Here is a 27,670-nt window from a genome sequence, read left to right as displayed (position 1 = left end):
GTTTACATCTCACCTAGCATATATAGTAGAGTTGTGGTGTTTCAAAGTCAATTAAAATAATTTTCACAGGCTGATATGGTCTGGGTCTGTGTCCCCACCCAAATCTCATCTTGAATTTTAATCTGAATTGTAATCCCAAAGCGTTGGGGAGGGACCTTGTGGGAGGTGATTCGATTTATGGAGGCAGTTCCCCCACGCTGTTGTTGTGATAGTGAGTTCTCATGAGATCTCATGGTTTTATAAGGGGTTTTCGCCCCTTTTGCTCTGCACTTCTCTCTCCTGCTGCCATTTGAAGAAGGAGGTGTTTGCTTCCTCTTCCACCATGATTGTAATTTTCTTGAAGCTTCCCCAGCCATGCAGAACTGTGAATCAATTAAAACCCTTTCTTTATAAATTACCCATTCTCAGATATTTCTTCATAGCAATATGAAAACAAATAACACATAGGGTAAGTTATGCTACAAACTCAATACATAGTTGGGTTAATTTGTTTTGTGTTGCTTTAAACTTTTATAACTTCCTTTTAAAAAATATTAAAGTTATTTACAATATTTTCATTGTTCCAAAGTCAAATATATAAACAAGGTATGTTCAGAAAAGTCTTGTCCTCTTGGCCCTATTCCTTATCTACTGTATAGATAATCACTTTGAAAATATTTTATTGATCTCTCCATAAGTATTTTATTTGGTATTTAGGAAAGTTGGTATTTTTGTTCTAACGTTTATTTTATACTAATATTCTTATACAATAACTGTAGTCCTTTTCTTTCTGAATGTTGTCTTTTAGTGTCCTATCACAAGCAATATTAAAAGTAGCAAATAGCCTATTTCCTCCCTCCCCATTCTTTCCTAACATTTAATGTAAAGCATTAATTTTTTGGTTAATAAACATAAGACAATCATTAATTTTGAAAATTAATTTTGATTAATCATTAATTTCATATACTTCAGTCTTTACTTTTATTATTTTTTTAGAGACAGGGTCTCTCTCTATCACCCAGACTGGAGTGCAGTGGCGTGATCATAACTCACTGTAAACTCAAACTCCTGGGCTCAAGCAGTCCTCTCACCTTGGCATCCCAGGTAGTTGGAACCACAGGTATGTGCTACCATGCCCACGTAAATTATTTTTATTTTCATTTTTATTTATTTATTTATTTCTGAGATGGAGTCTCGCTCTGTCCCCCAGGCTGGAGTGCAGTGGCGCGATCTCGGCTCACTGCAAGCTCTGCCTCCCAGGTTCAGGCCATTCTCCTGCCTCAGCCTCCTGAGTAGCTGGGAATACAGGTGCCCACCACCATGCCTGGCTAAGTTTTTGTATTTCCAGTAGAGACGAGGTTTCGCCATGTTAGCCAGGATGGTCTCAATCTTCTGACCTTGTGATCCACCCGCCTTGGCCTCCCAACGTGCCGGGATTACAGGCGTGAGCCACCGCGCCGGGCCCTATTTTTATTTTTAGAAGAGACAGCGTTTTGTTTATGTTGCCCTGGTTTCAAACTCCTGGCCTCATGTAGTCCTCCCACCTTGGCCTTCCAAAATGTTGGGATTACAGGCGTAAGCCAAAGTGCCTGGCCTACATTTGATGATAACGGTAAGAATATATAGCCATGACATACTATAATTTCTCTATTATAATTGCCATTTTGCTTTAGTTTTTCAGGTAAATATTTATCCAGTGTTCATCACTGGTCCTAACATCATTGTCATTCTAGTCATTTTGTTTGTCAGAATCCCATTCTTGTTAAATGCCTGAAGAAGGGTTTATGGGCACAATATTCTCTGAATTCTTAAATTTTCATGATGTTTTGTTATGGCTTTTATACTTGATGTCATTTGTGCTACATATAAAATCATTAGCTCACATTTTCTTCCTGAGTTTCTCAAATACTTTGCTATATTGTCTTCCATCATGAAATGTTGCTGGGAAAAAATAGCTGACAATCTGCTGTTGCCCTTATTAGTGACTTGGTCTTTTTGCCTGGCACCCAGTGGATTTCGTTTTATTTTTCTTTACGTTTCATCATATTATTAGTATATGTCTCTGTGTTGTTCATTCTGGTTGCAGTTTCAAGCAATAATTTTCTTTTCAAGTTAGGTTTTTGTTTATTTCCAAGTTTGTAGGATTAAAATTTTTTGTATTTGTTCTACTGCATTTTGCTGTTTTCCTTCCTATATATATATATACATATATATATATATATATATATGATTTTACTTTTACTTATTCTGTGTCTGTCACTGTCTCTTGTATCTTGTATATATCTTCATTTATTTTAACTTTCATAATTTTTCCATTTATCTTATTTCTCTTAGTATATTATCTCAAGTTCATTCTTGTGTTTCTTCTAGTTCATTCTTTAGATCTGGAAATCTTTTCCTTTTATTTCTAAATCTTTCCTATATTTTCCCAGCTATCTTTTCAAGTCTTTCTTTTCTCTAATAACATAAATTCTAAGTTTTTCTGCATCATATTTTTGTCAATATTTCATTGTTTTCTTAATTTATTATAGTTTATTTTTAAGTATTAGATTATAATTTTCATATTTTCAGGCAAATTTTCTGAGGTTTATTTATTTGTTTATAGGATCTTTTTGTGTATCTTATTCTATTTTTCTGAAACATAGATTTTGAATACTGTTTTATTATAATCCTTTTCTGTTATCCGTGTTTCAGGGTGATTATTTTTTCTCTATTCTTATAAGGAGACGTGGATCAGAATCATTTTCTTCACCTGACAGCTTCAGAATTCCTTCTCCTGTTATTTTCACAGTGTTAAAAATATGGCCCTGGGCTGGGCACGGTGGCTTATGCCTGTAATCCCAGCACTTTGGGAGGCCGAGGCAGGCAGATCACGAGGTCAGGAGTTCGAGGTCAGCCTGACCAACATGGTGAGACCCCGTCTCTACTAAAAATACAAAAATTAGCTGGGTGTGGTGGCACGCGCCTGTAATCCCAGCTACTCAGGAGGCTGAGGTGGGAGAATTACTTGACCCTGGGAGGCAGAGGTTGCAGTAAGCAGAGATCATGCCACTGCACTCCAGCCTGGGTGACAGAGTGAGACTCAGTCTCAAAAAAAAAAAACAAGAAACAAAAAACATATATATATATATATATATGAATGACCCTGTACTTTCCAAAATGTGGAGGCCCACTTTCACCTGGATCTGGTCTCTGTTTCTTCTCTTACTTAATTTGGATTCTACTTCCAGCAGTTTCTCCTCAGTGTTAACCTTTGCCCTGAAAGGAAGTTTTAGCTGATTAGTTTCCAGAGTTTAAAAGGCCCACACTGCTCCACCACCATTTGACCTTATTGTGGTTCTATTCCATTACCCAGCAAATTGGAGCCCATAAACTTCCCACCCATTTTTGGCTGCTGTACTCAGCGTGGCCTATTGAGCATTCTAGTTAGCACTGTTGGTTTTCTGGGTCTCATGGCCATCTGAAATCCTCTTGTTTTCTGTTTCTTCTTTTACAGTTGCGAGGCCACATGGATCTTGTTGTACTGGTAGCTTGTAGCTCCCAGTTTGTGTTTTTAGGTTTGGAGGATGCCTTGCAGCTACATTTTTCTGGAAGTAGTGTTTGGGCTTTTGGTCTTATTATTCTAGCTGTTCTGTCAGTTATTATGCAGAGTGGTGGGACTCAGACATATTCAGAAACCTTGCCACTATTATCACTTTACCAAGCTAGTGTTTTAAACATACATTTTACTCAAAATTTCTGATATGGAAAAACTATATGGAAACTTTGCATCATGAACTAACTCAGAGTTTCACTATGTAAAGAAATATTATATTTCTATTTAAATTAGCTATACAAAAGCTTCTGCAAAAATAGTGTTCTAGGAAAAAATAAGAATAAATCAATCCTGTACTTTAGTGTGGGGTAGTGGAGAACACACGGGCAATATCGTTAGGCTTGAATTTGGCACTCACCAATATCACTGAATAGTTTACCAGTAATTGCCTTACTGAGCCTCAGTGTCAGTGCTAGTGCCTAGCACATAGTAGGTAACTGATACATTTCATGAATAGATAATTAATTGAATTCATTTGATTCCTGGTACCTTCCTTGTCAGATTATTATGAAGTTAACAAACGATATGTGTAAAAATGATTGGATCATTACTTTCCGCACCACACATATCCATTTCTTGTCATTTCTTTGTTTTTCCTCTCAGTTATATTTTACACCTTGTATTTGCCTTTGATGGGATTTATGTTGTTTTTTCAGTTGTGGTATAATTGTACTGAACCATTTTATTCCTGTGTGTTCATGCATGAGGCTATCGATATGCTCATTTGTGAGACCATGTACACGCTCACGTGTAAGGACTGGCTTGTGTTCATACATGACAAGATGTGTGTGTTCACACAGAGAGTGTGTGTATGTGTTCATGAGGCCATGTGCCTGTGCACAGTATCCTTCTACGCTAATTATCTACATTTATTGTAGCCTTATATGGCAATATTTAAGTGAATTCCAGGTATAAAAAGGGTTAGAAATAAGCTCTGGTGACTCATTTATTTATGAAACTGCTGACAATCCTAGCTTTCTGTTGTGGGGGATTCTGGTTAGTAGATTATCATTTGACCTTAGAAAAATCTCAGACAACATCAGCAAGGCTTGGAAACAGCAAGGACACTTAACTGAGGCTTTTGATGCAGGCTTAGCTTGAGCAATGATAAGACTGGTGATTAGGAACAAGCAGAGGAATAAAATGCCAATTTTTAGAAAAGATCAACACTCACAACCATCGAAAAAGTGAAAGCTGACAGGCAATTGATTGCTTCACTCCATTTCCACTAACCATAAGGGCAATAAAACTGGATAGAGAAAAACAACTGATGGCTGCCTGGGCTTTGCCTAATAAAGAGAACAACCCATTTACCTAATAGAAGCCAGAAATATCCTTTCTCTTTCTCAATATTAGTTTCTAGATTCTTAGACCAGGCTCGGATCAAGCAAAAAGGTGAGCAAACGGCTGCCAGTGGAGAAGATGCTGCTTTTTAAGGTAACCAGGGCATTGTTCTCTGTTTCATGACTCCAAATTTCTAACATCCATTTGGAAATTAATTTCAGCAAATAAACAGGGTGGGAAGTAGGGAAGACTGGTAACTCCTTAAGCATCTTGGCAGCTGTAACCACATCAGATATGGTGCTCTAGGTAGGGGATGAAATAATAAAAATCTTGGTAGCACTGTATGCTGAGGATTTGAGTTTTCATGTACTTCATAATTTAAAGGTTTTAGAGATCGAAAAAATTGGCATGGAGAAAATTATGCTTAGCATGGTAGAATGTATAGATGAATGCCTGCTAAACACTGAAAATCAAAAAACAACCTGGGCTCGTAAATTTGTCTTCTGACTTTAAATCAGAGAAAGGATGTTCCACAAGCACCTAAACGGATATTGAACACAGGCATTGTCTATCCTGTCTGCTGGCAAATGTTAAGTTTGGGTAGAGTTTTTAAAAAGCATACAGGCAATTACATAGGGATAAAATTCCAAACAAATAAACAAGTTGAGTCTATAAAAAGAGCAACAAGTGACAGCAAACACAACAACAGATCTGCAAAATAAGAGAATGGGAATAGCATTTTAATTATTTCGAAGAGTAACACTGAAAAGGACTGATTTTTAGAATTCACACAGGAGCTAGAAAAACAACAATAGTAATGTCCTGCTTCAATAGTGTATTTGAAGGAAAGGAGATATTTTTGTAAAAAGTGGAACAAAATGAGGTAAAAAATGAGATGGTTAGCAAAGGAAGAAGTGTTACAAAGAAATAATGTAATAGCAGAATTAAAACTTATGCATAGTAGAATGGCATTGTTGGAAATACAATCAGTATAAAACAAAAGTGAAGTTATCCAAGAATATAAGGGAAAAGAATAAAGAGATTATCATGATAGAGATCATAATAGCAGAATAACAGAGAACAAAGACATATTCTAAAAAGTAAAGGTATTTCTGAATTAAAATAAAAACAATATTTAAGAATATAATAAAAAAATCTTTACTGAACCAAATAAAATATCTGAGGATGCAAACTTAAAAGACTTCCCATAACTAATGTAAAAATCTAAGGAAAGAGATACATCTCTAAACCTATACCACTAAAAGTTTTTAGGAAAGATTAAGAAAAAAATTAAGCCTTTATTGAGTTAGATTATTATTGTCTACGACGTAACAAACAAATCCGGTGGACCTTAGACTGCTCTTCTGCAATGTGACTTGCATAATAATAAATAAAACAGAATATTTGGAAAAAGTTAAATTTGGGGGAGAGAATGGGGATGATTTAACCTATAGTGATTGTCTTTTATATGTAAAGGCAAAAGGAAGTATCAATAGGTATGCAAAGATTGAGGAGGGAAGATATATTATCCACTATTATCCATATAATCTTCTTAAAGACCACTGAACATAATGCTTACTCAGAAATTAAATAACTTAAATATAAGAATATCAAGCTCACTTGAGTTCTTATTTGATACTAAATTAAGATATATGATCAGATTAGGAGTTGTCAGATCACTCTGTAATCTGGATTCAAATCTGTGGTCTGTATTTTACTAAATCATTCCCCTTTGGATTCTGAACATGTTTTTATACCTTAAGTGCTAAATCATGTGATTGATTTCATAGTTAAGGTATAATCTCTTGCTTTCTTTGAAGATCGCCTAAAATAATTTGGTTGTAACTATCAGCAGTATATATACATAAATACATAAATAGGTAAGTGTATATAAATACAAATATATAAAGAAATGTCTGCATATTTTTATAGGTGTCATGAACACAAGGGTTGCTGCCTAGAATTGAGTGGTTATGCCTCCACACATGTGACTAAAATGTTAAGAGGGAACTGAAATTTGGTCCTTGGTTCTCTCACAAGGTACACCCTAGCAGGGAGCTGTTCCTCCCTGGAGAAAGTCAATGAGGTGACTTTTCTTCATGAGAATTCCATGTCTTGTGGCCCCAGGGCTGTGTCCCACTGTAATTCATTTACCTAGGAAGGATGCCATTTGCTACTTCTCCTGGAGGCACCAAAAGGGCTACCAGTATGATACACTGTAGACAGAATTACTAAACAAACTGCTGTGTCTCTTCTTCCCACAAAAGTTGTTCAGAACAACATAAAGACCATTTTGATTGTGAAAGACCTTGAATAATGACTTTCTCCATCTTCAAATACAGACTGAATGACCTGGGTCATGCTATTTAATTAATAAAAAGTGGTAAATAAGCCAGTGACAGATTTTTATCCTATGACCAAGCTCCTTAACATATCACAGTTTATCTAAGCCCAGTAAGTGTCCTTGAGATAATAATACTTTAAAGGAATCAATAAAATGTGCTACATGCACTAGCACATGGGCTAAAAACAGGCTCTCCCTTAACAAGGGGACTTTATTAAATTTAAGCCCTCTGGTCTCACTTGACAAAAGTGACAGAAAAAAAGGCACATTTAAAGAAAGGAAAGATTGAGGGTGGGAAGGGTAGAGGAGGTAGATGGAAGGTGGGGGTGGGAAGGAACATTACACATGGTACCAAAAATGCAATGCTGACCCTGATAAAAAAAATCTACATGGGATTAATAAAAATATTATCAGTCCTTATTTGTGAAGTGAGGTTCTTAAAAATTCCTATTTTCAAATTTTGTATAAAAGTGAATGTATACCATTTTATAGTGTACCAATATAAAATCATGCCACGTGATTAGAACTCTGGGAGAAATATTTTCAGAACAAAAAGATTATAAGTAAATACTTCCATGGGTGGTTATTTTCCAAAGTGGCAAGACAATTGGATATTTTATTTTCTTCTATATTTCTGTAACTTTAAATTGTCTATAATTTGCCACATATTATTTTTAAAAAACAGAAAAATAACCTAGTATGCTTCATTCAAATTAAAAATATAGGAAATTTGTAACAAGACCTCAGAAATAAAGCCAATTCCATTTCACAGAACTGATGTGAATACTCTAGATCCGGTGCTGCTCTTCTGTTGTTATTTGTACAATACTTAGCTTATGACAATTCTTCATTTACAACCACAAAGAAATTCTATATAATGAAGCTCTTGTGCAAATATTGTCTTCATAAAATACTAGTTGAGGTTCTTTTTTTTCTTCAGATTTAATTTACTTTGGCTCTTTGTAAGCATGCTGATAATATTTTCATCTGTAATTTATAGGAAACATATTTGTACTTAAATGCTATTTTTTCTACATCAAAAATACCTAGGAAGGTTTTATAAATATTACCTATTAATCTTGACTACATTTTTGTGAAGTATGAAGCAACAGTGCTCAATCTCCATTTTAACTGAGCCAAGTGAGAGTTTAAAAGCTTTGCCTCAGTCAGTGGAAGTGCTGAATGGGGGCTTTTAGTCTCTGGCTACTAGCCATGTCATGAATGTGCCTGGAGAAATAAATCTGAAAAAACTATTTTTTCTTAAATTTGGTTTTCAAGCTCTTCAGGGACAGACTTGCTCAGGAGTCTTCTGCAGCCATCACCAGTGAGCTTCTGCACCACATGAGTGACCAAGACAGACTTACCATTCCCCTCACCTTGACTGAACTTTAGACAGGTTTCTTTCTGACTCTAGGTCTCTGGTCTCTCTTTCCTTACCGTGTTTACTTTAAAAAATCTGCTATTGTAAATTTTTTCTCTGCCCAGTTTGAGATGTAAATCTTCTACAACCCAGGAACGTCTTTCTCATGAACCTGGGACCCATTCCTTTGAAATGTGATCATCAAGAAAGATGATGCTCCCATTTCTCAGTCTCCGTGGGAAGGTAGGAGACTAAATTCAAGAAGCTCCAACTGGCAAACACAGATGACCTAATCATGCTGACTCACTCTGCCTTTAACATCCTTCAGTGCTTTTCCACAAACTCACCGTAGAGCTTAAAAATTCTCTTTCCTGTTTCCGTGGAGTTGAGTTCAATCTCTTCCCCCGTTGTAATAATCTTGAATAAAATTTTCCTTGCCTGTTTTAACTCTGCCTGGTATGACTTTTCTTTGACATGCCATATAATATATATTTATCAGGCCTGGAATCGTTGCATCAGAAATTACTAAGTCTAAAGCTTCAATTATTCTCTGAAACAATATGTTAACACAATAATGAAAGACCAATTTAATTTCCAATTGTGGGTCACAGCAGAGCCTTGTAGATTAAAGGGTATCTAAGGTGCATTTGCTGGCCACTTAGAACCTGCTTTCTATCCCTTCTTTACACTACTTACCATCCTGTTTTCATCAGAAGTCAGGGTTGCAGGAATAAAATGTTATTTCAATGTGTTCTTTTTTTTTTTCAGTTTCTCGTCCTTTGCTCTTCAGTAACATCAAACCTGGTCTCTACAAGAACATCCCCACTTCCAAAAGACCACTGTATATATCTTCTAGGACTGGCACATGCTTTTGAGCTTAAAAAAGGTATAGGTTGGTAATTAACATACCCTTTTAAATGTGTCCCCTCCAAAGTTCATGAGTTGGAAATTTAATCCCCAATGCACCAGTGTTGGGAGGTGGGGCCTAATAAGAGGTGATTGGATCATGAGGGTAGGGCCTTCATGAATGGATTAATGTTACCTCAAGTGTGGAATAGTTATCATGAGAGTGGGTTGTTGAAAAGTGAGTTTGGTCTCTGGTGCCTCTCTGTCTTGTCTGTCTTTTGTGCCCACTTCTACCTTCTGCCATGAAATGATCCTCACCAGACACCAGTGCTACTTTTTGGATTTCCCATCCTTCAAAACTATAATCCAAGTAAAGTTTTTTTCTTTATAAATGACATTTTATTTATAGTTTAGTTTATTTACAATTTATAAAGAAACTTCTTTATAAATTTCTTTCACATTTCTTTATAAATGTCCCAATTTGTAGTATTCTGTTAAAGTAGCAGAAAACGAACAAGACAATGCCCATCTCCTCATCTAGACTGTAAGCCTTATGAGGACAGAGATATTGTATATTTTTGTTTATTTTGACTCAAGCAATGTCTTCTCTAGTCCCACGTTAGAACAACCATCCATCTGAGATTTTGAGATTCTGGTAGGTCCACCCTCTCTGTTAGGGCTTTTTTGATCCTCTTTAAGGTCCTTTGTGAGGTCTAAATTTGTTCCAAGAGCACTACGAATGTTTGCACCATTGGTGATTAGGTCAGTACATTCTCAATGCTGCTCCATCTACAACTCCCCTTTAAAGTCTCCCAGAGAATTACACACCTAGGAACATATGTCAGCCTATCTCAGTGGATCTCTTTAAGCTCCTTCATTTGGATGAAGGTGAGTAGGAGAGAATCTCCTTTTGAAGTAGAAAGAACAGCCCAATGGTATGTCACTATATTTCTTTAAAATACAAACACACACACACACACACCCTCATATATACTTAAAATCTCTATATATTTCTACTTTATAAATCTTTTAATATATATATCTCAATATAATATCTCTATGGAGTCTTTATATAATCTATATAAAATATATCATAATCTCATTGTATATAATATGGAATATATTTAACTAAATATATATTCTATTAAGCTATATATAACTAGATATATTTAACTTAAAAGCTCTATTATATTAGTTATAGATTAATTTATATAATCTATAATCTTACTCTGCATGGTATACTATATAGTATATGCTATATACTCTATATTTTTAGTGAATTATTTAGTATATATTATGTAGCATATATTATACAATTTACATGTATACTTGTATACTAATATATTTTCAATAGTTATTCACTATATGTTATATACAAAGTATCATTAATTTGTGACATATTATACATAAGAATATCTATTTCTATATATTATATAATCTTTATTACATAATACATCATCTATCTCCATTTTTATCTTGTTGAACTGCTTGAGAGTAGTTTACAGGCATCATGACACTTTGTCCTAAATACCTCACATGTATCTTCTATCTATGAGGATGCTCTTCTCATAGGATGCCCTTGATCGTTTTCACACTCAAGAAATTTAATAGTGATATAATACGATTACATAATATACAGCCTACATTTCCATTTCTAAATATCCAATAATATTCTTCATCGCTATATTTTTAAAAGAAAATTCAGAAAATAATAAAAATAATCACTCACCAAATTTAGTTGTCTGATCACTTTGGTCTTCTTTACTCTCTTTCTAGGACAGTTTCCCTTCTTGCCCGCTTCCTGCTCTTCTTTTTTGCTCTAAGACATTAATATTTTTGAAGGCCAGTTATCTGGATCTGACTTATTATTTTCTCATGTTAAGTTCCAAGTAAACTTTTTTGTCAAGAGTCCTACATAGATAACTGTGTGTCCCTTCTGTGGCATCACAGTAGGGGATATATAATGTCAATTTTCTTCAATATTGGGGAAGCTCTATAACAACACTTGGTAAGGTGGTATCTACCAGATCTCTCTATAGTGTAGTTATCTTTCCTTTTGTAATTAGTAGGTAATCTGGTGGTTATAATTTAGATGGGGTGAAAATCCTGTTTCCCAACCACCATTCATCTAAATATCTTAGCATCAACTTCTTGTCTGAGTCAGTTATTAAGTGACGGCTACAAACTGGGCTCCATCCTCTTTGCTGAGAATGGACAGTCCATTACTGTCATCAGTAATCTAGCATTTGGGTTGTGGGCACTTTGGCACCTATTTCTCGTTCTTAGTCTTTGGTGTCTTATCCTAAGTTAATGGAGATAGAATTCCAGCACAGCATCCTGATACTATTGTTATTATTGTTATTCTTTTAGAACAGAGACTTTTTGCTAATTTTCATTATATACACTGCAGATGCCAGCATAGTTCCTTCAAAATGGTATGTGTCCAATAAATTACGTCAGTTCAACTAAATGTGAAAGATACTGTGCATGCATGAATATATATCTTTACATTAGAATATCACATTGGCCCTATAGAATAGAAAATCCTGGATTAAAAGAATACATCAATTTGACATTTTAAGCAACTTGATTGTGCCTAAAATATTTGGCAGTTGGGAGGTAGTATAATGTAATGGTTAAATGTAGTCTTTAGATTTAGACAGCTGTGTGACTTTGAGAAAGCTCTTTAAATTTCTGTGTCTGATTTTCCTAATACTTAAAATAGGACTAACAATATCCATTTCTCAGGGAAATTTTAAGGTGAAATGATATAATGTAGAAATCATTTGGCATAATGCCTGATACAGGCCTATATCTGAAACAAGGCACTTGGTAAATGGTAGCTAATGTTATTGTTTCTACTGCTTTAATAGAATTTAATTCTGAATTATAATTAAAGTGTTACTTCTCTGTTAAATATATTATTTATGCATCCTTTTGAGTATGTACAAATACTATATCCAATTAACAAGTAAAATATAAGCCAAATGTTAAAATTTGACACTATCTGTTGGCTCTTCTATGCTGCAGACATTTGTGAGTATTCTTTATGGCTTTTGTTTATAGCAGATACTTACAAATTTTAAAGAATCACATTGTAGGTTCCTAAAAATACAGCTGATTCTCTTTCAAGTCATGACATGTAATTTTTTCAAAAGCCTTTCTAGAGAAAAAAATGTAGGTTGTTTGGGGCTTATTTTCCCAAACATGGTGTCTCGTTTTTTTCTGTAACTTCACTTCTCATGATGGCCTTTTTACCTTCCTGACAGACTGCCCCAGAAAGGTCTGCTCCTTTGACTCTCCTTATTCATCTCTTTCTTTCTTACTAAGACATCCGGATTCACTTTGTCGCTTTCTTCCAGGAACACAGCACTCACAATTTTCTGTAGCTCTTTTACTTCTTCTTTAGCAATTTCACTTTGCCAAGCTGTGTGTACTGCTCTCTGAAGAGTTAACACAGAGTCCATCTGGTACCTCATAACAGCATGCCTTTTAGTCTACATTTTATCATAAATTATCTTCTCATACTGCACAGAGTCCTTGCAGTGTTCAGCCAAACTGAAACAAGCTTTCTGAAGCCCATCCTGGGTTGCCTGTTCTTAATGGTTTTGTCTTCACTTTGAACAGGGTTACTGCACCTTAGAGCAAAATCAGCTTTGAAGCCATGGAATTTTTAATGACTCCTAATGTAATGGAGAGTTCACCATGAAAACTTGAATGGGAATATTTATACACATTTTATTTAAATTAAGCTGGTTACTCAGCTTATAAAACTTTCTAGAATCATCCTCTGTTTATTTTCTTCCCTCACGAGGTGATCTGGGATAAAAATAAATCTTCAGAGACTCGGGTGCTCGTGGGAAATGGGCATGAGAGAGTCCACCTGGAAATCGGGAAATACTGACAAGCAGAAAGAAGGAGGTTCTGAGAGGAAATGTCATTTAATTTGCCTCATCTTTCTTTTCTTTTTGTCCTGATTTTCTTTTGGGGAAACCAGGATTCTATGCACATAATATAAAAGAAAAGACAGAAAAAAAAACATTTTGGAAAGAAATATACTTGTATATGTGTGTGGTACATGTGTGTGACCACAGCAGGATGTTAATATACAAACAACTCTCTACCCCAAGAAATTTTCTATTAAATATTTGTTTCACTATGATTTGCATGTATCTGAACTAAACCTTATCTGTGGTTTCAATTACCCGTGGTCAACTATGGTCAAAAATATCAAATGAAAAATACCAGAAATTCACAATACATAAGTGTATTGTGTATTGAATTGCATGCCATTCTGAGTAGCATGATGAAATCATGTGCCACCGTGCTCTGTCCTGCCCGGGATATGAATTATCTCTTTGTCTAGCAGATCCATGCTGTCTATGCTGCCAGCCAATAGTCACTTAGTAGCCGTCTAGGTAATCGTATCAGCTGTCACAATATCGCAGTGCTTGTGTTTAAGTTACCCTTATTTTACTTAATAATGGCCTGAAAGCCCAGAGAGTGATGCTGGTAATTCAGAGCTGCCAACAAAAAGCTGTAAAGTGCTTCCTTTAAATGAAAAGGTGAACATTCTCAACTTAATAAGGAAAGAAAAAAAAATCAATTGCTGAGGTTGCTAAGATCTTTGGTAAAAATAAATCTATGTATGAACAGTATGTAGTTATAATTGTTCCATTATATTATTAGTTATTGATAATCTCTTACTGTGCCTAATTTATAAATTCTTTATCATAAGCATGTATGTATAGGTTAAAAAAAACAATAGTATATATAGGGTTCGGAAATATCCATGGTTTCAGGCATCCACTGAGGGTATTGGGACATACACCCAGCAGATAATGGGAGACTGCTATACTACAGAACTTACGTAATCAACTACACACCTTTGAAAACACATATTTGTTGAGAGTAAACAAGGTTCTAACTTATTGGCACCACCTTATGCTGGCTGTCTGCTCTGGAGACCCAAGGCGAGGCTGCCTGTGAGTGAGTTGATGAGTGGATAATACCAAATTATGCTGAAGAGCTGGGTTCTGCTGTATTAAAATTTCTTCTAGACTAGGGCAATAAATTCTCCTAGAGGAACCAATACATGATTTGTGTATGTGAAAACTTGGGAACTTGAAATAATCTTTTTGATTAGGTTGTATTTATAATGTCAAACTTTTCTTTCAGTCCCAGAGTTAGTTTAGACCAAAAAAAAAAAAAAAAAGTCTACTGAGTGGCTTTCCATCAATTTCTGACAGAAGTATGGTTGGCTGTCTCAGGCCATGATTTTGCTTAAGGTTTTCATGCTGAAAATGCTTCCACCTAGAGAGTGATCTGAGGACAGACACCAGGCACTGTACATACAGGGAGCACGTTGGTGGACAAATGTCCAGCTGTCTCACCTAGGCTTTTCAACTTCCTTGAATTGGGCACCAGGGAAGGAGAAAAAGGAGGAAAGGCTAGAGTTTTAGTGAGTTTGGGCCCAGCAAGGGGATAGGGGACATCAGAACGGCAGCATCTTAGCAGTGGTGTTTCTATGTACATATACTCAACCCTGAGGGTAGGCAAAGATTTTGTTGTTTTGAAAGGTGACTGATCTGAACCTAAGACATTTCTCATGTCTTCACTCCAACCAGTCTCTCTGGTTTACCTATTTGATTTGATCACTGCCTTCTCTTGTCCTGATTTGGTGCCCCTTTCTTTCTCTTCTCCCAGCCAGTTGTCATGCATGGTTTTGTTATATGCTTGGCTTGTCTCTATAGCCTGAAGGTTTCCTTCTCTTGGTTTCCATTCTGTAGATCCCAACCTTGATCCGCTTTAAGTCCTAGGTCAGAGCCTGGTTGAGTCACTGTGTCTCTCTAGTAAGGATGTGTGATGTTGGGTGGTAAAGTTGGGTCAGATGTCCTTTTTCCTCGTGTTCAGATAGAAATTGGCATTGCTTGCATTTACATTGCCAGTGCTCTGGCTCTGAAGACTTAGATTCTGACACACACACACACACACACACACACACACACACACACACGCAGAGGTTTTACAGAAATATGGAAATGTTGGGTCTAGTGCTAGTATTTATGTGATGTAAGAGTATAATTAAATTATTAACTGAAGTAATAATTGGCTACTTTGTCAGATCTAATGGACACTGGACCATTTCTTAACTTCCCACTCTGTTCTTTGTCTGCGCTTTTTTTCTCTTGACTTTTGTGATAACACTTTCATATTTTCTCCTATCTCACTTTTTGCTAGCTTCTTTTTCTCAACTGGAACATTAAATATTGTAGAGCCTGTGGGCATTGTCCTAGGTTCTTTTCTTTTTATTGTCTCTTCCTATCTCATCTCATTCTCTCCTAGGGCTCTGCAAGCTATCTATGCCCATAGCTCACAGATTTTTGTTTCCAGACAAGACTATCCCACTGAATGGCTCATCCTAAAACCTAAATCCTATCAATTCTTCTCTTTTCCGTACCACCTACATCTGTCTATGAACAAGTCCTGTCACTTCTCTGCCCACTTCCCCCTGCATCAGCCCCAGACCATCCCATTCTCCCCTAAAACACCATCATCTTTCACTAAAACTGCTGCAACAGTCTTCTAACATGTTTTCTTCCTTTTATTCTGTATGACCTCCAATATCCATACGAAAATAAGTGATTAAAAATGTATGTAGATTTATGGAACTCTCCTATTTAAAACATTTTACCGAGTTCCTGTTTTACCTAGAGTAAAATACATTGTTGACAAGGCCATGATCTGACTCCTACCAACCTTGTTAGTTACATGCTGTAGTTCTGTCTCCCTAACTCACTCCTGTTTAGGTGCACGACCATCCTTTCTGGCCTTTAAATTTATCAAACTCTTTCATACTTGTCTTTGCACTTGAAATTCCCTCTTTGGAAAGCTTGGCTCTTGGCTTAGTACACTGTTGTTTCTCTTTCATCCATCTTCTTTCATCACTGTTGTTTATTTTTCATCCTTAGCACACTGTTGTCTATCTTAATACACTGTTGGTTTTCTTTGTCCAGCTTATCCAAAGTGTACCTCCACTTTGTCAATCTCTATTCTATCACTAACCTTTTTATGGACTTCATACTTATCACTCTCTCTAATTATCTACTCGCTGTTTATTTTCCATTCATTCATCTCCACTGTCCTGTCTTCCCATAAGGCAAGCATTGTGAGCACAGGGTATTTGTCTGTCTTGCTTATAGTAATATTCCTAGGGATAGTAGTTTCTTGCATCTATAAGGTACTCAATAAAATGTTGATGAATGAATGCATGAGAAGTTAAGTATAGCCACTCTGGCTTCTCAGGATAACAGACTTTTTTTTTTTATTATTTAGGTAAAATTTTCCTTTCTTTCTTCTTTCCTTTTTTTGGTAGAAGGAGGAATTGCTGAGAGAGTATTAGCAAACAGACAAGGGTAAGAGTCCATGGAACTCTTTATCATGCTAAAATATATTGTAGCCTAAATATGTTTGGAAATCTTTGTGTAAGAAGTTTCTTGTTCACCTCTACGGTGAGTTTTAGTGTGTTTCCTGTTATTTCATCAGATCACAAAAATGAAAATTCACAGCTTTTAGAAGAATCTGAAACAAGGCTAGTTTTTTTTTATGTGCTGCCTCCAGTTATATCAGGATTTTACCGCAAGAAAATAATGATCAGAGTTAATGAGGAGTTAACAGTGCAAGCCAATCTGAATAAAAGCCAAACACAAATACCTAGCATAGGTTTTTTGTAAATCCAAAATTCAAAAATCTCTGAAAAGTGAAAAGATTTTTTAAATGTTCGTGGCAAACTCTTTTTGTAAAAAATCCTGACCTGGCTATAGAGACCCTCCTGGCTAACACGGTGAAACCCCGTCTCTACTAAAAATACAAAAATTAGCCAGGTGTGGTGTTGGGTGCCTGTAGTCCCAGCTACTCGGGAGGCAGAGGCAGGAGAATGGCATGAACCTGGGAGGCGGAGCTTGCAGTGAGCCGAGATGGCACCACTGCACTCCAGCCTGGGCGACAGAGTGAGACTCCGTCTCAAAAAAAAAAAAAAAAAAAAAAAAAAAAAAATCCTGACCTGAACTTACAAGAGGCAATTTCAAGTCTTTATTTATCCCCAAATTCATGTTTCCCTGGAGAAATGTTAATGTTTTTAGTCAATATAATAAGATATTTATAGCTTATGTGCATGAAGATCCACATCTCCAGGGTGCTTTGAGGGCCTTCCAAATAAAGGTGTCATGCTTTCCGGGCTAAACTCAAGATTGGTTCTTCTGTGGTGTCCCAGAATTACGTTGTATTATTGGATTCAAAATATGTGCTACTTCCTTTCATCACTTATTATATAAGTAAGCACTTGTTAAGGTGAGGGACAAATGTTTTTGTCCAGGAATTGAAAACATATAAGCTTCTAGTAGCAGTTATTTGGAGCAAGAAAATAAGTTTCTTTTTAGTAATGATATGCAGTGCTTTAGAGGAGATGGTAATGAATAGAATGAGATGGTGGTACATGGAATGAACAAATATAGGCAGTAATAAAACATACCTTACAGTCTTAATGGTTTTTTAAATGAATAACAAGTGGTGACAAGGTCTGGGGTATGATCCAAGTTGAATTGGCCATCACTGATTACCAGGTATTTTTTGTTTGTGCTTGGCTTTCATACAAATTGGCTTGCAATTACGCCCAGATTCAGTCAACTGCAAACTCAAACTCAACAATTTCCAGCATGGACAACTCTCCATGAACTCTGACCATCATTTCATTGCAGCTGAATCCTTGTCTATCTGGAGGGGATACGTGGGGAACCAACCTTGTTTCAGGTTCTACTGAGGGATATTTATGTCCTGAGGTGCTGTGGCCACAATTAGTCAATCCCATGTTTGGTATTTTTTACTTCTAAGGATTCAGGACTACATGTTTGATGGCTGGTAGATTGTTTGACATCTGGTGCTATTGAAAGCAGTATTAGTTCCAAGGAAAAAAAAATAGACTGTCAGTGCATTTTATTTTCTTTCCTACATCTGGTGCTTTATTCCTTTTTTTGCTTCTTCAATCTGTCCCTAATGGACCCTGGAACTTAGAAACCAAAAGTTAAAAATAGAAGCTTTCAGTGACACTAAGAAAAATGACTCTGGGTTGGTAAATATTACTGTCCTAAAGAAGTGAGAGTAAAGTGCTTGATTCAAAACATTTAAATAGAATTTGTGAGTTCTCAGTGTGTTCAAGATGATGATCTCCTAGATGGGAAATATCACCTTCTGAATAAAATAATCAAGAGCAGTTTACTATTTCCTTTTCCCTACTGTTGTATATTTTATAGGAACAAAGAAAATAACTTCTGTCAGTAATTTCAAATACTACTTTTTGGAGGTAAAATACACATACAGTGAAATGTATGTATCTCAAGTGAATAATTCTATGAGTTTTGATAAATGTGTACACCTGTCTAACCCACACCCCTATCAAGAGGTAGAATATTTCCATCAACTCAGAAAGTGTCCCTCTGTTCAATAAATTTTCCACTCTCAAGAAGCAAATGCTTTTCAGATTTTTATTATGATAGATAATTTTTATCTATTCTTGAACTTTATGTAAGTGGAATCATTATGATATACAGTGTTTTGTATCTAGCTTTCTTTGTTCAACATGTTTTTGAGATTCATCCATGTTGTTTTGCGTAGCCATACTTTTTCCATTTCTATTGCTGAGAAGTATTTTATTGTGGGAATATAACAGGTCTATTTTTTTAAGTCTATTTTGTTGATGGGTATGTGGGTTAGCATTATTTCTAACACAGGCTTTATTATGAATAAAGCTGCTTGAACATTCTTGTACAAGTCTTTTTGTGTATCTGTGTTTTCATTTTATCTGTATAAATATCCAGAAGTAGAACTGTTAGGCAATAGAATAAATGTGTGTTTAGCTTTGTAAGAAACTGCCGGAGGAGGAGCCAAGATGGCCGAATAGGAACAGCTCCGGTCTACAGCTCCCAGCGTGACCAACGCAGAAGACGGGTGATTTCTGCATTTCCATCTGAGGTACCGGGTTCATCTCACTAGGAAGTGCCAGACAGTGGGCGCAGGCCAGTGGCTGCGCGCACGGTGCGCGAGCCGAAGCAGGGTGAGGCATTGCCTCACCTGGGAAGTGCAAGGGGTCAGGGAGTTCCCTTTCCGAGTCAAAGAAAGGGGTGACGGACGCACCTGGAAAATCGGGTCACTCCCACCCGAATATTGCGCTTTTCAGACCGGCTTAAGAAACGGCGCACCACGAGACTATATCCCACACCTGGCTCGGAGGGTCCTACGCCCATGGAATCTCGCTGATTGCTAGCACAGCAGTCTGAGATCAAACCGCAAGGCGGCAGCGAGGCTGGGGGAGGGGCGCCCGCCATTGCCCAGGCTTGCTTAGGTAAACAAAGCAGCCTGGAAGCTCGAACTGGGTGGAGCCCACCACAGCTCAAGGAGGCCTGCCTGCCTCTGTAGGCTCCACCTCTGGGGGCAGGGCACAGACAAACAAAAAGACAGCAGTAACCTCTGCAGACTTAAATGTCCCTGTCTGACAGCTTTGAAGGGAGCAGTGGTTCTCCCAGCACGCAGCTGGAGATCTGAGAACCGGCAGACTGCCTCTTCAAGTGGGTCCCTGACTCCTGACCCCCGAGCAGCCTAACTGGGAGGCACTCCCCAGCAGGGGCACACTGACACCTCACACGGCAGGGTATTCCAACAGACCTGCAGCTGAGGGTCCTGTCTGTTAGAAGGAAAACTAACAAACAGAAAGGACATCCACACCAAAAACCCATCTGTTCATCACCATCATCAAAGACCAAAAGTAGATAAAACCACAAAGATGGGGAAAAAACAGAACAGAAAAACTGGAAGCTCTAAAAATCAGAGCGCCTCTCCTCCTCCAAAGGAACGCAGCTCCTCACCAGCAACAGAACAAAGCTGGATGGAGAATGACTTTGACGAGATGAGACAAGAAGGCTTCAGACGATCAAATTACTCTGAGCTACGGGAGGACATTCAAACCAAAGGCAAAGAAGTTGAAAACTTTGAAAAAAACTTAGAAGAATGTATAACTAGAATAACCAATACAGAGAAGTGCTTAAAGGAGCTGATGGAGCTGAAAACCAAGGCTCGAGAACTACGTGAAGAATGCAGAAGCCTCAGGAGCCGATGCAATCAACTGGAAGAAAGGGTATCAGCAATGGAAGATGAAATGAATGAAATGAAGCGAGAAGGGAAGTTTAGAGAAAAAAGAATAAAAAGAAATGAGCAAAGCCTCCAAGAAATATGGGACTATGTGAAAAGACCAAATCTACGTCTGATTGGTGTACCTGAAAGTGATGTGGAGAATGGAACCAAGTTGGAAAACACTCTGCAGGATATTATCCAGGAGAACTTCCCCAATCTAGCAAGGCAGGCCAATGTTCAGATTCAGGAAATACAGAGAACACCACAAAGATACTCCTCGAGAAGAGCAACTCTAAGACACATAATTGTCAGATTCACCAAAGTTGAAATGAAGGAAAAAATGTTAAGGGCAGCCAGAGAGAAAGGTCGGGTTACCCTCAAAGGGAAGCCCATCAGACTAACAGCAGATCTCTTGGCAGAAACCCTACAAGCCAGAGAGAGTGGGGGGGGGGGGGGGCAATATTCAACATTCTTAAAGAAAAGAATTTTCAACCCAGAATTTCATATCCAGCCAAGCTAAGCTTCATAAGTGAAGGAGAAATAAAATACTTTACAGACAAGCAAACGCTGAGAGATTTTATCACACCAGACCTGCCCTAAAAGAGCTCCTGAAGGAAGTGCTAAACATGGAAAGGAACAACCAGTACCAGCCGCTGCAAAATCGTGCCAAAATGTAAAGACCATCGAGACTAGGAAGAAACTGCATCAACTAACGAGCAAAATCACCAGCTAACATCATAATGACAGGATCAAATTCACACATAACAATATTAACTTTAAATGTAAATGGACTAAATTCTCCAATTAAAAGACACAGACCGGCAAATTGGATAAAGAGTCAAGACCCATCAGTGTGCCATATTCAGGAAACCCATCTCACGTGCAGAGACACACATAGGCTCAAAATAAAAGGATGGAGGAAGATCTACCAAGCAAATGGAAAACAAAAAAAGGCAGGGGTTGCAATCCTAGTCTCTGATAAAACAGACTTTAAACCAACAAAGATCAAAAGAGACAAAGAAGGCCATTACATAATGGTAAAGGGATCAATTCAACAAGAAGAACTAACTATCCTAAATATATATGCACCCAATACAGGAGCACCCAGATTCATAAAGCAAGTCCTGAGTGACCTACAAAGAGACTTAGACTCCCACACAATAATAATGGGAGACTTGAGCACCCCACTGTCAACATTAGACAGATCAATGAGACAGAAAGTCAACAAGGATACCCAGGAATTGAACTCAGCTCTGCACCAAGTGGACCTAATAGACATCTACAGAACTCTCCACCCCAAATCAACAGAATATACATTTTTTTCAGCACCACACCACACCTATTCCAAAACTGACCACATACTTGGAAGTAAAGCTCTCCTCAGCAAATGTAAAAGAACAGAAATTATAACAAACTATCTCTCAGACCACAGTGCAATCAAACTAGAACTCAGGATTAAGAATCTCACTCAAAGCCGCTCAACTACATGGAAACTGAACAACCTGCTCCTGAATGACTACTGGGTACATAACGGAATGAAGGCAGAAATAAAGATGTTCTTTGAAACCAACGAGAACAAAGACACAACATACCAGAATCTCTGGGACGCATTCAAAGCAGTGTGTAGAGGGAAATTTATAGCACTAAATGCCCACAAGAGAAAGCAGGAAAGATCCAAAATTGACACCCTAACATCACAATTAAAAGAACTAGAAAAGCAAGAGCAAACACATTCAAAAGCTAGCAGAAGGCAAGAAATAACTAAAATCAGAGCAGAACTGAAGGAAATAGAGACACAAAAAACCCTTCAAAAAATCAATGAATCCAGGAGCTGGTTTTTTGAAAGGATCAACAAAATTGATAGACCGCTAGCAAGACTAATAAAGAAAAAAAGAGAGAAGAATCAAATAGACGGAATAAAAAATGATAAAGGGGATATCACCACCGATCCCACAGAAATACAAACTACCATGAGAGAATACTACAAACATCTCTACGCAAATAAACTAGAAAATCTAGAAGAAATGGATAAATTCCTCGACACATACACTCTCCCAAGACTAAACCAGGAAGAAGTTGAATCTCTTAATAGACCAATAACAGGAGCTGAAATTGTGGCAATAATCAATAGCTTACCAACCAAAAAGAGTCCAGGACCAGATGGATTCACAGCCGAATTCTACCAGAGGTACAAGGAGGAACTGGTACCATTCCTTCTGAAACTATTCCAATCAATAGAAAAAGAGGGAATCCTCTCTAACTCATTTTATGAGGCCAGCATCATTCTGATACCAAAGCCAGGCAGAGACACAACAAAAAAAGAGAATTTTAGACCAATATCCTTGATGAACATTGATGCAAAAATCCTCAATAAAATACTGGCAAACCGAATCCAGCAGCACATCAAAAAGCTTATCCACCATGATCAAGTGGGCTTCATCCCTGGGATGCAAGGCTGGTTCAATATACGCAAATCAATAAATGTAATCCAGCATATAAACAGAGCCAAAGACAAAAACCACATGATTATCTCAATAGATGCAGAAAAAGCCTTTGACAAAATTCAACAACCCTTCATGCTAAAAACTCTCAATAAATTAGGTATTGATGGGACGTATTTCAAAATAATAAGAGCTATCTATGACAAACCCACAGCCAATATCATACTGAATGGGCAAAAACTGGAAGCATTCCCTTTGAAAACTGGCACAAGACAGGGATGCCCTCTCTCACCACTCCTATTCAACATAGTGTTGGAAGTTCTGGCCAGGGCAATCAGGCAGGAGAAGGAAATAAAGGGTATTCAATTAGGAAAAGAGGAAGTCAAATTGTCCCTGTTTGCAGACGACATGATTGTATATCTAGAAAACCCCATCATCTCAGCCCAAAATCTCCTTAAGCTGATAAGCAACTTCAGCAAAGTCTCAGGATACAAAATCAATGTACAAAAATCACAAGCATTCTTACATACAAACAACAGACAAACAGAGAGCCAAATCATGAGTGAACTCCCATTCACAATTGCTTCAAAGAGAATAAAATACCTAGGAATCCAACTTACAAGGGATGTGAAGGACCTCTTCAAGGAGAACTACAAACCACTGCTCAAGGAAATAAAAGAGGATACAAACAAATGGAAGAACATTCCATGCTCATGGGTAGGAAGAATCAATATCATGAAAATGGCCATACTGCCCAAGGTAATTTACAGATTCAATGCCATCCCCATCAAGCTACCAATGACTTTCTTCACAGAATTGGAAAAAACTACTTTAAAGTTCATATGGAACCAAAAAAGAGCCCGCATTGCCAAGTCAATCCTAAGCCAAAAGAACAAAGCTGGAGGCATCACACTACCTGACTTCAAACTATACTACAAGGCTACAGTAACCAAAACAGCATGGTACTGGTACCAAAACAGAGATATAGATCAATGGAACAGAACAGAGCCCTCAGAAATAATGCCGCATACCTACAACTATCTGATCTTTGACAAACCTGAGAAAAACAAGCAATGGGGAAAGGATTCCCTATTTAATGAATGGTGCTGGGAAAACTGGCTAGCCATATGTAGAAAGCTGAATCTGGATCCCTTCCTTACACCTTATACAAAAATCAATTCAAGATGGATTAAAGATTTAAACGTTAGACCTAAAACCATAAAAACCCTAGAAGAAAACCTAGGCATTACCATTCAGGACATAGGCATGGGCAAGGACTTCATGTCCAAAACACCAAAAACAATGGCAACAAAAGACAAAATTGACAAATGAGATCTAATTAAACTAAAGAGCTTCTGCACAGCAAAAGAAACTACCATCAGAGTGAACAGGCAACCTACAAAATGGGAGAAAATTTTCGCAACCTACTCATCTGACAAAGGGCTGATATCCAGAATCTACAATGAACTCAAACAAATTTACAAGAAACAAACAAACAACCCCATCAAAAAGTGGGCGAAGGACATGAACAGACACTTCTCAAAAGAAGACATTTATGCAGCCAAAAAACACATGAAAAAATGCTCATCATCACTGGTCATCAGAGAAATGCAAATCAAAACCACTATGAGATACCATCTCACACCAGTTAGAATGGCAATCATTAAAAAGTCAGGAAACAACAGGTGCTGGAGAGGATGTGGAGAAATAGGAACACTTTTACACTGTTGGTGGGACTGTAAACTAGTTCAACCATTGTGGAAGTCAGTGTGGCGATTCCTCAGGGATCTAGAACTAGAAATACCATTTGACCCAGCCATCCCATTACTGGTTATATACCCAAATGACTATAAATCATGCTGCTATAAAGACACATGCACACGTATGTTTATTACGGCACTACTCACAATAGCAAAGACTTGGAACCAACCCAAATGTCCAACAATGATAGACTGGATTAAGAAAATGTGGCACATATACACCATGGAATACTATGCAGCCATAAAAAATGATGAGTTCATGTCCTTTGTAGGGACATGGATGAAACTGGAAATCATCATTCTCAGTAAACTATTGCAAGAACAAAAAACCAAACACTGCATATTCTCACTCATAGGTGGGAATTGAACAATGAGATCACATGGACACAGGAAGGGGAATATCACACTCTGGGGACTGTGGTGGGGAGGGGGGAGGGATAGCATTGGGAGATATACCTAATGCTAGATGACAAGTTAGTGGGTGCAGCACACCAGCATGGCACATGTATACATATGTAACTAACCTGCACAATGTGCACATGTACCCTAAAACTTACAGTATAAAAAAAAAAAAAAAATCCAAGTCGAAAAAAAAAAAAAAAGGAAACTGCCAAATAATTTTCCAAATTGGTTTCACCATTTTATTTGCTTTCCAGCAGTGTATAGGGGTCCCAGTTGCCCAATGTTCTCTTAACAGTGGCATGATTAAACATTCGAGTGTTTTTATAACTTGTTAGTTTTAGTTTGCACCTCTCTGATGACTAATGAGTCTAGGATGGCTCCTACATTCCTACCTTGACATGGGGTTTGGGTGTGGTGAAGGAGGCAGTTCACAGAGATAGATAATACAAGAGGAGAAAAAGGGAATTGATAGAGTATTAAGGTTTGGGGTTGTTAGAAAGAAACATGAACTGAATTTTAGAAAAAGAGTTTGGAGAAAGCACAAATTTAAAAATCAATGAGAGATGACTTTGGGCAGATGGTGGAATAGGAGGTCACCTGCTCATCTTCCCTCCTTCTGCACCTACCCACAACAAAAATCTGTTTGTGCGAATCTAGGGATTCAGTTACAGCCTGTCTCAGGCACAAACTGGAGCCATACAGACATCCCGGGGATCCATCCAGTGACCCATCAGGAGCCCTCCCAGAAACCTGAAGGAAGCCATACCCATCAACACTCCTTGGAAGGAATATGGACATATTCTTGGGAGAAATATGGACATACGTATTCAGGAAGCTCAAAAGACCTTAACCAATATCAATTTAAAAAGGAAACTCTGAGACACATTATAATCTGATTATCAAAAATCGAAGGCAAAGAGAGAATCTTCAAAGCAGCAAGAGAGAAGAAACTGTCAAATATAAAGGATGTCCCATAAGACTATCAGTAGACTTCTCAACAGAAACCTTGCAAACCAGAAGGGAATGGAATGACACATTCAAAATGCTAAAAGAAAAAATTGCCAGCCAAGAATACTATACACTGAAGAACTGTCTTTAAGAAATGAAGGAGAGATAAAGAAATTCGAAAACAAGAAAAGGATGAGGCAGCTTATCATCATGAGATTGGCCTTACAAGAAATATGAAAGGAAGCTCTTACAGTTGAAACAAAAGGATGACAAGTATCAACATGAAGACATATTAAAATATAAAACTCACTGATAAAAGCAAATGCATAGTCAAATTCAAAATACTCTAATACTGTAAAGGTGCTGTGTAAATCACTCTTAACTCTAGTACAAAAGTTCAAAAACAAATGTATTACAATAACTATAGCTACAAATAATTGGTAAAAGATATACAATAGAAATAAATATAAAGTATTCCATCAATAGCATAAAATATGGTGGTGAGGAGAAGTAAAATTGTAGAGTCTTTGTATGCAATTGAAGTTAAGGTATTATCAGCTTAAATTAGGACACGATAAGATGTTTTATGTATGCCTTATGAAAACTGCAAAAAAGTCTAGTAGATACAAAAAAGATAAAGAAGAATCAAAGCATAGTATTACAACAATATAACAAATTATAAAGGCAGCAAAATTGGAAGAGAAGAACAAAAGAACTACAAAACAATCGGTAGAAAATTAACAAAATGCCAGTAGCAAGTCCTTACCTATCAATACTTACGTTTGACATAAATAAATTAAATTCTCTAAAAGAAACAGTGGCTAAATGGATAAAGAGACTCATTTTAGCCTTAAGAGCACATATTGATTGAGAATGAAGGTTTGGAAAAAAATATTCCAGGAAACTGGTAACCAAAAGAGAGTGAGCATGGCTATGGTTATATAAAACAAAATAGACTATAAGTCAAAAACTATAAAAAGAGACAAAGAAGGACATTATATTATAATAAAGGGGTCAATTTATCAAGAGGATATAACAATTTTAAATATGTATGTATCCAATATTGGAGCTCTTAAATATATAAAACGAATATTAATAGATCTGAAGGGTAGGGTAGACTATAATACAATAACATTGGAGACTTCAGTACTCCACTTTTAACAATGGACAGATCATCTATACAGAAAATCAATAGGGAAATAGTGCCACCCACCCTCAAGAGGAGGACATTATATAGAGTATGTTATACCATGATGCAGGAATCCTGGGAGCCTTCTTAGAATTCTGCTTACCATGTTGTCTCCAGATGGCTGGTTGAATGACTTTTCTTTGTTTAATGGATGCAACTTACTGATGACTCCTAGGTGACAAGTACTCAATAGACAGGTAAATAACTGTTAGTCTGTATCCCATAGTGTAGATATAGAATATTTCTCAACAAATAAAAACATGGCTGGAGTCAACTTTTTTATTTTGAGGAAGCATCAATTGCTTTTTATCTCCTTAGAAGTAAACCTTATATCCTCCAAA

At 37.1% G+C, this 27,670-nt stretch overlaps 2 long non-coding RNA genes across 3 annotated transcripts in view, besides 1 other annotated feature; both read right to left on the bottom strand.

Annotated features, from left to right (window-relative positions):
- LOC124901723 (uncharacterized) overlaps nucleotides 1-8,997 on the bottom strand; it is a 13,378-nt gene extending 4,381 nt beyond the window's left edge. The window contains exons 1-2 of the long non-coding RNA XR_007060474.1: nucleotides 8,910-8,997; nucleotides 3,159-3,237 (exon numbers count right to left, since the gene is read on the bottom strand). This is a non-coding gene — a long non-coding RNA (uncharacterized LOC124901723). The remainder of the gene's footprint in view (nucleotides 1-3,158; nucleotides 3,238-8,909) is intronic.
- Nucleotides 8,774-9,068: an enhancer, noted in NCBI's record as "tiled region #11752; HepG2 Activating DNase matched - State 24:Quies". NCBI's record gives its function as "activates a minimal TATA promoter and a strong SV40 promoter by Sharpr-MPRA in HepG2 cells {active_cell/tissue: HepG2}" and the evidence as "EXISTENCE:reporter gene assay evidence [ECO:0000049][PMID:27701403]".
- LOC105375452 (uncharacterized) lies at nucleotides 9,059-27,670 on the bottom strand. 2 transcript variants are annotated; one of them, XR_927864.3, is made up of 3 exons: nucleotides 27,433-27,670; nucleotides 11,138-11,227; nucleotides 9,059-9,112 (listed from the first exon to the last, which is right to left on the bottom strand). It is a non-coding gene; the product is annotated as an uncharacterized LOC105375452 (long non-coding RNA). The 2 variants fall into 2 exon arrangements; XR_927865.3 differs by lacking the exon at nucleotides 9,059-9,112 and adding an exon at nucleotides 9,384-9,438.

This window comes from Homo sapiens, chromosome 7 (genome assembly GCF_000001405.40).
Source record: "Homo sapiens chromosome 7, GRCh38.p14 Primary Assembly".
Lineage (NCBI taxonomy): Eukaryota > Metazoa > Chordata > Mammalia > Primates > Hominidae > Homo > Homo sapiens.
Note: the sequence above shows the minus strand (reverse complement) of the source record. Positions and strands in the feature narration are given on the sequence as shown.